General features: G+C 38.1%; 1 protein-coding gene and 1 long non-coding RNA gene across 3 annotated transcripts in view; both read left to right on the top strand.

The window, feature by feature from the left end:
* PIR-FIGF (PIR-FIGF readthrough) overlaps positions 1-12,403 on the top strand; it is a 145,719-nt gene that overhangs the window by 59,908 nt on the left and 73,408 nt on the right. Inside the window, exon 5 of the long non-coding RNA NR_037859.2 lies at positions 5,412-5,496. This is a non-coding gene — a long non-coding RNA (PIR-FIGF readthrough). The remainder of the gene's footprint in view (positions 1-5,411; positions 5,497-12,403) is intronic.
* Positions 1-12,403, top strand: part of PIR (pirin) — a 108,535-nt gene that overhangs the window by 61,932 nt on the left and 34,200 nt on the right. For both annotated transcript variants that reach the window (NM_001018109.3, NM_003662.4), the window contains exon 6: positions 5,412-5,496. In NM_001018109.3, coding sequence (NP_001018119.1) covers positions 5,412-5,496 — 85 coding nt within the window. The remainder of the gene's footprint in view (positions 1-5,411; positions 5,497-12,403) is intronic.

Raw genomic sequence — 12,403 nt, 5'->3', positions numbered from 1 at the left:
ACAATTTGCTTTTGGCCACAATGTCTTAACCTTTACATCTATAATTTCACTGTGAAGGAAAAAAATAGAAATGTAATCAAAGATTTATGTGCAAAGAGATTCGTCGAAAGTTAACAATGACACACAAAAACCCCATAAAACACAATGTCCAATATTAGAGGAGTTGTCCAAAATGGGGGGTGTGTGTCTAGGAACAAGTAGAAACACTGTTTCTTTCTCTTATAGGATATTGGGGATTGGCACTCATTAATATGGTTACTTAGAGTAATTTCCTTAAGCAACATATTATAGTAAGATTGACAATTTGAGTGCATTTCCTGAGAAATAACTAAATCATAAAGAGCTTTTGAAATAGTTCCCCCAAAGAACTGTGAATGCATTTATTACATTCACAATTTATTACATTCACAAAGCATTATGACACTACATTGCTGCCACTTGCTTTTAGGGAGAGTCAAAGATGGTGGTAAAAACAGCAGCATTTGGGAATCAATGGGCAGCAGTTATCTGTCAAAGGAGCAATGGCAAAATTCAAGATACTTCCTTTGCCACACTCATACATAGCAACGTAGCATGCTGCATTCTTTTTCTTGGGGAGATGTTTTTAAGCCACATAGCTTCCATGTGGAAGTGATTTCATCTCCTAATTAAGATCACATTTATGAATAAAAGCAGAGGAAGGAAGCCAGCTTGACAAGGGTATCCTACCAAAAGCCAGGGTAAATGGGAAGTCTTTGAAGGACATAAGATGAAGGTAGTTGGAGTTTGGAAGGAAGTGGTTTTATAGACCTTGTTTTGTCTTGGTTGTTTTGTGGTCATTATTGGAGTGGTGTCTGAGACTCATTATGGGTTTGGTTCTGACATATTTATAGGGAAGGAGAGACAAGGTTTTCCTGGATTTGGTAGCAGCCCTGTTGTAGGTTAGCCAAAATGTACCCTTAATCTCTTATGAAGAATTGAATTACTTACCTTCTAGAAATATTCCCTGCATAATATTTGAACCATAATATTTTAAGCCATTAGGCTTTTGAAATATAGGCTAAAACTTTAAAGGAAAGTTTCCTAAATACTTTCAACACAGGATTGTGAAATGGAAAGAAAGACGAAAGGGGAAGAGCTTTGGATTTTAGTACCTCTGCAGGCATTATTAATCAGAACTGAAACAGAAAAAAAAGGAAAAAAAAACAAATTCACTAATAGAATTTGAGTGCATTAGCTCTGTGCATGCTGCAACGGATTTATAGGGGAATGTTTTCTTTTAGTTTCTTATGGACCAATTTGTTTGACTCTTGTGGAAATAGATTCATTGATAGCTAAGTTTTAACCAAAAAAGAATGATTTAATTAAATTATCATTCTATTTTGAGGTTCTATTAATAGTTTAATACTATACATAAAAATAAACAAAACAACACAGGAAACAATGTGCCTAATAGGAAGATTTCTTTATGGTTGAAAATCAGCAGGGTATGTAATGGAAAGATGGAATCCAGGTTTGCTCAAGGTACATTTGAGGCTGACATCATCACCTTTTTTTTTTTTCCCTTGAGACAGAGTCTCGCTCTTCCGCCCAGGCTGGAGTGCAGTGGCAGGATCTCGGCTCACTGCAAGCTCTGCCTCCCGGGTTCACGCCCTTCTACCGCCTCAGCCTCCCGAGTAGCTGGGACTACAGACGACCACCGCCACGCCCGGCTAATTTTTTGTATTTTTAATAGAGACGGGGTTTCACCGTGTTAGCCAGGATGATCTCTATCATCTGACCTCGTGATCCACCCACCTTGGCCTCTCAAAGTGCTGGGATTACAGGCGTGAGCCACCGCGCCCGGCCTCATTATAGATTATTTTAAATAGAATAATATACATTCAGTTTTGAAGGCTTTGGGGTAGTTTATTATTCAAGACATATGTTATATTGACACCCTCAATGATCCAGTTCCCAATATGAAAAGAATACTAGAATTGGAATCCTGTTTTAGGTTAAAGATGTTGTGAAAAACATCTGCAAAATGAATTAAAAATTTCCTCTTAGACTTTTTCACACTGTGAGACGATAGAATATATTTTGTGGCTTTATTAAAGTCTCTCATTGGTTTCTGTTTAAAATTTTTAAGATGAATACATAAATGAATATAGAACGTTCTGTGTGAGTGTGAATACACCTGCATGTGTGCTTGTGCCTGTGTAGTTGCAACTTAGAGAGGTAGCTACTATTTTTTGAACAATATGGATTAGGTTGAGAAGCAAGAGACAGGAAGGAAGAAGGAAAAAGAGCCAGCCAGGAGGGCAGACTGATGACTGAAGTTGAGGGCAAGAATACAGCGAGTTAACCAGAGCTTTCCCACCAACTCTCCACAGCTCTAGTTGCCCTCCCTCACCCCAGCCACATTCTCACTTCTCTTTAGCTCTAGTCTGAGAAATTGGAAGAGAATTTTAAAAATTAGAGTGTGGAGGAAAACATTACTTTTCTGAATCAGAATTTCAGAACCAGAAATAGACTTAAACAACAGCAAGTACCCTCACAAAATTTTCAGATGAGCGAATTAACCCAGAAGAAGATAAGTGTTTCGTTGGTCAGCAGAAAAAGCAATACCTCTAGCTGGGCACGGTGGCTCACACCTATAATCCCAGCACTTTGGGAAGCCGAGGCGGGCAGATGGCTTGAGCCCAGGAGTCCGAAACCAGCCTGGGCAACATGGCGAAATCCCATCTCTACAAGAAAATTTAAAAAAGAAAGAGAGAGAGAGACAGAGAGAAAGAAAGAAAGGTAAAGAAAGAAGAAAAGAAAAAGCAATACAGCATGAAAGACTCCTGACTTCCAGTTCAAGATTATTTTTATGGCCACATTCTGGGAGAGTGCTAGCAAAAATTAAAGCAAGAACCTCTTTGTGATGCATTTCTTCTCTGTTGGAAGGGATACTGCATCTGCCACTGAGGCAGAGGTTGAAAAAGATGCTTAAACCAAACAGGGATCTTTATCTGAAGGACAGCGAAATATTGCCTGAACAGAGGAGTCATTCGATATTATATGAAGTTTACCCTTAATCTTTTTAGAGGTAATTTTAGAAGTCCTCATCAGACAAAACCAGCCCCTTTCCAGATGGTGTCTTATACACCTAATGATCCTAGAGAATCAGATCCTGTGCCCCTTGTGTGCTGCCCTTCTTTTATGTGTGTTTCAAGCTCTCTGATTGATTGTGAATCTTTGGCCTCAGGTTGCACTTGATGTCACAGGTCTTTCTGGTTTCATTTATATATACACGGGGGAATTTGCTTTTCTAGTCTTTGAAGCTGTATTAATGCAGCTTGACCTTCTAAGCCATGCAAAAGTCTACCAGAGCATTTTAAACCCCAAAGCTTCAATTGGAGACATTCAGAGGAAAGGAAAAAAATCTTTTGATAGTCAAGATTACTCACGATTCTTTATTTCAAAATTTAATGTACAGACAATATATTTTGACCATACCAAATTCACCTGTCCTGAAGAGAAGCATTTTGCTACATGTAGGTGAAGATGTTGATGAATACCCCATATATATATATATGTATACATACACACACATATGCACACACACACACTTGTGTGTGTATATATGTATGTATATATGTATATAAAATCCCATGTATAGTAATACGGTTATTGACAGTATATGGAATAGTAATACAGTTATTGACGGTATATATATGTGTGTGTGTGTGTGTGTGTGTGTGTATGTACTGTCAGTACATATATTCATATATATCTTCATATATACATATATCTACTGTCAATAACTGTATTACTATACATGGAGTTTTCCATTATGAAACATCATTCAATAAATATTTATTGAACACCTAGCATTTGACAGACATAGTGGGTTGGCCCTGAGAATTCAGTAGTAACAAAGGCAGAAATGTTCATGTCCTCATGGAGCTTGCATCATTATTCTCCACAAAATTATGCCTTCATCAAGGAGAGTAAATAATTCTGGGCTCCAGATTCTCTCTTTTTGTCTAAAAATGCATGTATTTAATGAATGTAATCTTTTAATTAACATATAACATATACACAGAGAAGTACACAGATCAAGTATACAGCTCAAAGAATGTTTACCAAGTAAACACACTCATAAAAGCAGCAGCCAGGTTAAGAAACAGAACATTACCAGCCCCCAGAAGCCCCTTTAAAATCCTTTTCTACTTGCTAACCTTCCCAAGATAACTAATTTTGTGACTTCTGACATCATAAATTAATTTTGGCTTGTTTTGAACTTTGTAGAAATGGAATCATACGGTGTATGATCTTCTGTGTCTGTCTTCATTTGCTCAATATTATGCCTGTGAAATTCACCTGAGTTGTTGCATGTAGTTGAGTTCATTCATTCTCCTTGGTGTATAGTATTCCACTGTATATTACATTTCATTTATCCATTCTATTATTAAAGACATTTGGATGATTTCCAGTTTGGGGCTATTATCAGTTCTGTCACTATTAAGGTACTTGTGCCTGTCTTTAGGTGACTGTTAGGTATACACCTATGAGTTGGAATATTGGGTCATAGATTATGCATATATTCGTCTGTGCTACACATGGCCAAGCAGCTTCCCAAAGTGTTTATACCAAGTTATAGTCCCACCAGCAGTGTATGAAAATTACAGTTACTACACATCCGTGCCAAGCTTAAGGTTATGTGCTTTTTCATTTTCATATGCATTTTAAGTTTATAAAGTAGACTGGAACCACTGGAGCTTTGTGATAAACAATGAGACATCATAAAGTTTGTAGCAACAGTTCTAATCCCTTGAATTTTAGTCTATGCCAATGATTCAGGATGGTATTATATTAAATTAGAAACTCTGCTTAACTCTTGATGGAATAAAAGTTACTGTTTATAATGGAAAATCCTGCAAAAGTTTGCCTTTCTTACATTTGGAGTTGTGGCTTTTTCAAGCGAGCAGTGTCGGACCATTTTTGTTAGCCAGAGGGCCAAGTAAGAAAAAATAAAAAATATGTGCAGGCCGCATTTTTAAATTCCAAAATGGAAATGGCTTTCTTGAGACATGGGGAAGAAACATACATTTGGTTGTGAGATAACCTGCCATATCAAGTGGAAGACTGGAGGTGGGAAAGTTGGAGCAATTATTGGCCAGTAAAATGTTACTATTGGACTATATTTGAGAACTGGCTGTAGGGAGACAGCTGTCATCCTGAAATTAGCTTGTCAACCACATTGTAAAGCTAGGAGGGCTAACTTCCAGACCAAGACCTTTAAGAGGGGCTGTTTTAGCAGCCCACCTCGGCTTTAACACTTCCCTAGGAGGAACTATATATATAATGGATCCAGGTCCAGGCCTATTACAGAAGGGCCAGCTGAAGGAAAGAAGAACCTTATTCTTAGAAAAAAACACTGATGGTTTCCTTTTCCTTTTCAGTCCAAGGTTTACACTCGCACACCAACCTTATATTTGGACTTCAAATTGGACCCAGGAGCCAAACATTCCCAACCTATCCCTAAAGGTATGATGGGTTCTGGGGTTTAGTAGTCACGTCAGGAAAAAAAAAAGAAAAGAAAAAACCAACAAGAGGCTGTTTTGCCTGGAATGTGCTTGTTTCTGAAACTCAGCACAAAGTTCTAAGAACTCTTGTTTATGTTTAATTGTGTTTAAATTGACAAATACTGCTGGGACCTTCCAAGTTAAGAAAATCAGGAAGAGGCCGGGCACGGTGGCTCACGCCAGTAATCCCACCACTTTGGGAAGTCGAGGCGGGTGGATCACGAGGTCAGGAGATCAAGACCATCCTGGCCAACATTGTGAAACCCCGTCTCTACTAAAAATACAAAAACTAGCTGGGCGTGGTGGCGCACGCCTGTAGTCCCAGCTACTTGGGAGGCTGAGGCAGGAGAATCACTTGAACCCGGGAGGCGGAGGTTGCAGTGAGCCGAGATCGCACCACTGCACTCCAACCTGGGAGACACAGCGAGACTCCATCTCAAAAAAAAAAAAAAAAAAGAAAGAAAGAAAAGAAAATCAGAAAGAACTCACAGAATGTTAGGGCCAGACCTTGTGGGCCATACCACTCAATTTACAGGTGTGGAAGGCCTAAAAGATGGGTCACTTGCTCAAGGCCACCCAAACACTTACTGGATGAGGTAGGGCAAGGAAAACACCCCTGTCTCCTGACTTTCCAGCTCCTATTGACTCACAGTGTTCCTGAAGGCAAATTCGGACCTGTGTTACTTATACACAAGTGCATACTTGATTGAGATACAGGTTTTGCTTGATATAGGTGTTGTTATGTAAAGGTTACCTTTAGATTGACATTTGAATCCAAAGAATAATTAAAAATTCCCAAGTATTTAAGGCCTATTTTGTTCTTTTTTTTTTTTAATTCTGGCTAATTTTTATAATTGTTTTTTTCTGTAGACGTGGGGTCTCACTCTGTTACCCAGGCTAAAGTGCAGTGGCATGATCATAGCTCACTGCAGCCTTGAACTCCTGGGCTTAAGTGATCCTCTTGCCTCAGCCTCCCAAGTAACTGAGCCTACAGATGTGTGCCACTATGCCCAGCTAATTTTTTAATTCTTTTGTAGAGATGGAGGTTTCACCACGTTGCCCAGGCTGGTCTCAGATTCCTGGCCTTAAGTTGATCCTCCTGCCTTGGCCTCCCAAAGCACTGGGATTTCAGGCATGAGCCATTGTGTCTGGTCTATTTTTAAATAATTTTTTTAATTAACACAATAGATGTACATATTTTCAGGGCACATGTGACAATTTAATACGTTCATATAATTTGTAAAGATCAAGTCAGTATAATTAGGATATTCATCACCTTAAATATTGGTCTTTTCTTTATGCTAGAAACATTTGAATTATTCTTTTCTAGCTGTTTGGAAATATACAAAGATTGTTGTAAACAATAGTCGTCCTACTGATCTATCAAACACCAGATCTTATTTCTTCTATTAAATTGTATATTTGTACTCATTAATCAATCTCTCTTTATCCCTCCCAGACCCCTACCCTTCATGTCTTCTGGTAACCACCAGTCTTCATGAGATCTTTATGAGATCCACTTTTTTACTCCCATGTAAGAGTGAGAACGTGCAATATTTGTCTTTCTGTGCCTGGCTTATTTAACTGAATGTCCTCTCCAGGTTGCTGCAGATGACAGGATTTCATTCTTTTTATGGCTGAATAATATTTCATTGTATATTTATATCACATTTTCTTCATTCATCTATTACTGGGCACTTAGGTTGATTCTACGTTTTGTACATTGTGAATAATGCTGCAATAAACATGGGAGTGTAGGTATTTCTTTGATATATTGATTTCTTTCTTTTAAATAGGTACCCAGTAGTTGAATTGCTGGATTATATGGTAGTTCTATGTTTAGTTTTTTGAGGAACCTTCATACTGCTTTCCATAATGGTTGTACTAATTTACATTCTCACTGACTGTATACAAGGGTTCCCCTTTCTCCACATCCTCACCAGCATGTGTTATTCCCTTTTTGATAACAGCCATTTTAACTGGGGTGAGATGATGTCTCGTTGTGGTTTTGGTTTGCATTTCTCTGGTGATTAGTAATGTTGAGCATTTTGTTCATACACCTATTGCCCATTTGTATGTCTTCTTTTGAGAAATGTCTATTCTGAGCTTTTGCCCATTTTTAAATTGGATTTCTTTTTGCTATTGAATTGTTGAGCTCCTTATATATTCTGGTTATTCATCCCTTGTCAGATAGGTAGTTTGCAGATATTTTCTCCCATTCTGTGGGTTGTCTCTTCACTATTTTTTTTTTTAAGACAGAGTCTTGCTCTGTCACCCAGGCTGGAGTACAGTGGTGTGACCTCTGCTCACTGCAACCTCCACCTCCTGGGCTGAAGCAATTCTCCTGCCTCAGCTTTCCAAGTACCTGGGATTACAGGTGTGTGCCACCACGCCTGGCTAATTTTTGTATTTTTAGTAGAGATGTGGTTTAACCATGTTGGCCAGGCTGGTCTTGAACTCCTGGCCTCAAGTGATCTGCCTGCCTCGGCCTCCCAAAGTGCTGGGATTACAGGCGTGAGCCACCGCACCCAGCCTCATGTTATTGATTGTTTCCTTTGCTGTGCAGAAGCTTTTGAGCTTGATATAATATCATTTGTCTATTTTTGCTTTGGTTGCTTGTGCTTTTGAGGTCTTACACAAAATATCTTTGTCCAGTCCAATGTCCTGGAGATTTTCCCCAATGTTTACTTGTAGTAGTTTCATATTTTGAGGTCTTAAATTTAAGTCTTTAATTCATTTTGATTTGATTTTTGTTTATGGCAAGAGATAGGGGTCTAATTTCATTCTTCAGCATATGAATATCCAGTTTTCCCAGCACCATTTATTGAAAAGACTGTCTATTCCTCAGTGTATGTTCTTAGCACCTTTGTCAAAAATGAGTTCCATTGATCCATGTGTCTGTTTTTATGCCAATACCATGCTGATTTGATTACTATAGCTCTGTAGTATAATTTGAAGTCAGGCAGTGTGATGCCTCCAGCTTTGTTCATTTTGCTCAGGATTGCTTTGGCTATTTGGGGTCTTTCATGGTTCCATATAAGTTTTAGGATTCATTTCTGTGAATGAGATTGGCATTTTGGTAGGGATTGCATTGAATCTGTACATTGCTTTGGGTAGTATTGTCATTTTAATGATATTAATTCTTCCAATCCATGAGCACAGAATAGCTTTCAATTTTTTTTGTGTCCTTTTCAATTTCTATCATCAGTGTTTTATAGTTTTCCTTGTATAGATTTTTCAATTCTTTGGTTAAGTTGATTCCCAGGTATTTTATAATCTTTTTTTGTAACCATTGTAAATAGGATTGCTTTCTTGATATTTTTTTCAGATTGTTCACTCTTGGTGTATATAAATGCTACTAATTTTTGTATGTTGATTTTGTATCCTGCAACTTTACCAAATTTGTTTATTAGTCTTAATAGGTTTTTTTTGGTGGAGTCTTTAAGTTTTTCTTAGTGTAAGATGATGTAATCTGTGAACAAGACTAGTTTGACTTCTTCCTTTCTTATTTGAATGCCCTTTGTTTTTTTTTTTTCTCTTGCCTAGTTGCTCTGGCCAAGACTTCCAGTATTATGTTGAATAAAAGTGGTTAAAATGGGCATCTTTTTCTTGTTCCAGATCTCAGAAGAATTCAGTTTTTCAACTGAATTCTTTCAATTTTTTCCCATTCAATATGGTGATAGCTGTGGGTTTGTCATAATAAGGCCTTTATTATTTTGAGGTACGTTCATTCTATACCCAGTTTGTTAAAGGTTTTTGTCATAAAGAGATGTTGAATTTTATTGAATGCTTTTTCAGCATCTATTGAAATAATGATGTTTTTTCTTCTTGATTCTGTTAATGTGATGTGTCACATTTATTGATTTGTGTATGTTGAATGTTGAAACATCTTTGCATCCTTGGGATGAATCACACTTGATCATGGTGAACAATCATTTTAAGGTGCTGTTGAATTCAGTTTGCTAGTATTTTGTTGAGAGTTTTTGCATCTATGTTCATCAGCAATATTGACTTGTGGTTTTCTTTTTTTGTTGCGTTCTTGTCTGGTTTTGGTATCAGGGTAATGCTGGCCTCATAGGATAAATTTGGAAGTACTCCCTCCTCTTCAGTCTCTTTGAAGAGTTTCAGTAGGATTGGTATTAATTTGTCTTTAAATGTTTGGTAGAATTCAGCAGTGAGGCCATCAGATCTTGGGCTTTTTTTTTTTTTATGGGAGACTTATTATGGCTTCTATCTCATTACTAGTTATTGCTTTGTTGAAGTTTTCTATTTCTTCATGGTTCAATCTTGGTAGGTTGTATGTATCCAGGAATTTATCAATTTTTTCTGGGTTTTCCAATTTCTTGGCATATAGTTGTTCATAATAGTCTCTAATGATTCTTTGTATTTCTATGGTCTCAGTTATTGTGTCTTCTTTTTCATTTCTGATTTTATTTATTTGGGTCTTCTCTCATTTATTCTTAGTCCAGCTAAAGGTTTGTCAATTTTATTTATCTTTTCAAAAAACCAACTTGTCACTTCATTGATCTTCTGTATTTTTTTGTCTCAATTTCATTTACTTCTACTCTGATCTTGATTATTTCTTTCCTTCTACTAATTTTGGATTCCATTCTGGCTATTTAAGTACAGAAAAATTTTAGATTAATTTGCTTAAACATAAGCCTTCACTATCCGTGATTTTTATAACATTAAGTGTATGTGTGCTTTAACCTTTTAGTGCAGTGCTTTTATCTTTAAACTTTTGAGTTGCTTTCCTCCAATCCCTTGTCCTCCCTTATCTATGTCCAGTACCCTCACTATATAGATCACAGATATATCCTTGAATTATATCTTGCTGTATTTTTCTCCACACTTATTTTTATACACTGACATATATGTGCATTCACATATATGCAAATATCAGGTTATTTTGTCATTTTAATAAAATGGAATCATAACTACTCTTTTACGTCCTATTTATTTGACTGAAAAATACTCATGGAAATCCTTCCCAGTTTACTTATATAGCTCCTTTTGTTTTGTTTTGTTTAAGAGACAGGGTTTCTCTGTGTCACCCAGGCTGGAGTAAAGTGGCACAATTATAGCTCACTGCAACCTCGAACTCCTGTGCCCAAGAGATCTTCCCACCCCAGCCTCCCAAGTAGCTAGGACTACAGGCACTCATCATTAATGGTGGCTCCTTTTAACAGTGATATTCTACATCATCTAAATACATACTATGATGTATTTAGCTATTTTCTATCAATGGGAATTCACTTTGTTCCTAGTGCTTGGCTACAGCAAACTGGTCTGCAATGAATACCTTGTGTATCTGCCTTCCCATGTGGAAATTTATTTTGATGAGACAGGTTTCCAGGGATGGTCACCAGATCTATGCATGCTTAGTTTTAAAAGACATTGTCAGGTTGCAATCCAAAGAGGCAGTCACACTTTCTATTAGCAGCATATAGAATACCAGTTTCTCCACAATCCCACTAGCAGGAAGTGTATGGTTCATGTTCATTTTTGCTCTGCTCTCAGACATCACCTTATATTGCCTCCTGAGAGAGAACGTATATCTGTCAGTTTCCAAAGCTGTATTTGCATTTTATTTTGTCATCATGAATTTTAAACCTGAGATTTGTTTTCAATCATGTTTTGTTGTTGTTGTTGTTGTCGTTGTTGTTGTTTTGAGATGAAGTCTTGCTCTGTCGCCCAGGCTGAAGTGCAGTGGTGTGATCGCGGCTCACTGCAACCTCTGCCTCCCAGGTTCAAGTGATTCTCCTGCCTCAGCCTCCCGAGTACCTGAGACTACAGGCGCATGCCACCATGCCTGGCTAATTTTTGTATTTTTAGTAGCGACGGGGTTTGACCATGTTGCCCAGGCTGGTCTTGAACTCCTGACCTCAGGTGATCCGCCCACCTCGGCCTCCCAAAGTTGGGATTACAGGTGTGAGCCACTGCGCCCAGCCTCAAACACTTTTTTTTTTTTGACACGGAGTTTAGCTCTTGTCGCCCAGGCTGGAGTGCAATGGCATGATCTCGGCTCACTGCAACCTCTGCCTCCCGGGTTCAAGCGATTCTCCTGCCTCAGCCTCCTGAGTAGCTGGGATTACAGGCACCCACCACCACGCCCAACTAATTTTTGTATTTTTAGTTGAGATGGGGTTTCACCATGTTGGCCAGGCTGGTCTCAAACTCCTGACCTCAGGTAATCCATCCACCTCGGCCTCCCAAAGTGCTGGGATTACAGGCATGAACTACCACACCCGGCCTCAAAAACATTTTTATAGGGATACAACAGGAAATAGCTTAGAATTGCACATTTAGCATTGAGCGTCTGTAAACCCACTTTAAACAAGTGCGTTATGAACCCAGCTATGAAGCAAAAGATCCTTTCTTTTCCAATACATCACTTTTAGTTATAGTGTTCTCTCTTTCTCAGTCTGTCTGTCTGTATCTCTCTCTCTCTCTCCCTCCCCTATCTCTCTCTCTGTCTTACACACACACACACACACACACACACACACACACACACACACACAGACTTATCCATGCTTCCACTGCATTAGGTGACAAATACAAAGTTTGAGGCTTCTCTGTTTAGTGCCTAACAATTAATTCAAGTATTATAAAGCACTCATTATTTGCAGCTTTGATAGTCCTGGCTGCCTGTCATCAGACATACTGGATGGTAAAATTATGCTGTATAAAGTTTATTATGAAGTAATTCAAATCAAGGTCACCATTTGTCTTTTTTTTTTTTCCACCTTTCCAGGTCAAATTCCATCATAAACTCCAAGGACTGTCTAGATTCTTTTTATTTGGGTGCTTTGTTGTATCAAATATTTCGTGAAATGTGTAGGCCATTGGCTGGGTCCTGGACATGT

This window comes from Homo sapiens, chromosome X (genome assembly GCF_000001405.40).
Source record: "Homo sapiens chromosome X, GRCh38.p14 Primary Assembly".
Taxonomy (NCBI): Eukaryota; Metazoa; Chordata; class Mammalia; order Primates; family Hominidae; genus Homo; species Homo sapiens.
Note: the sequence above shows the minus strand (reverse complement) of the source record. Positions and strands in the feature narration are given on the sequence as shown.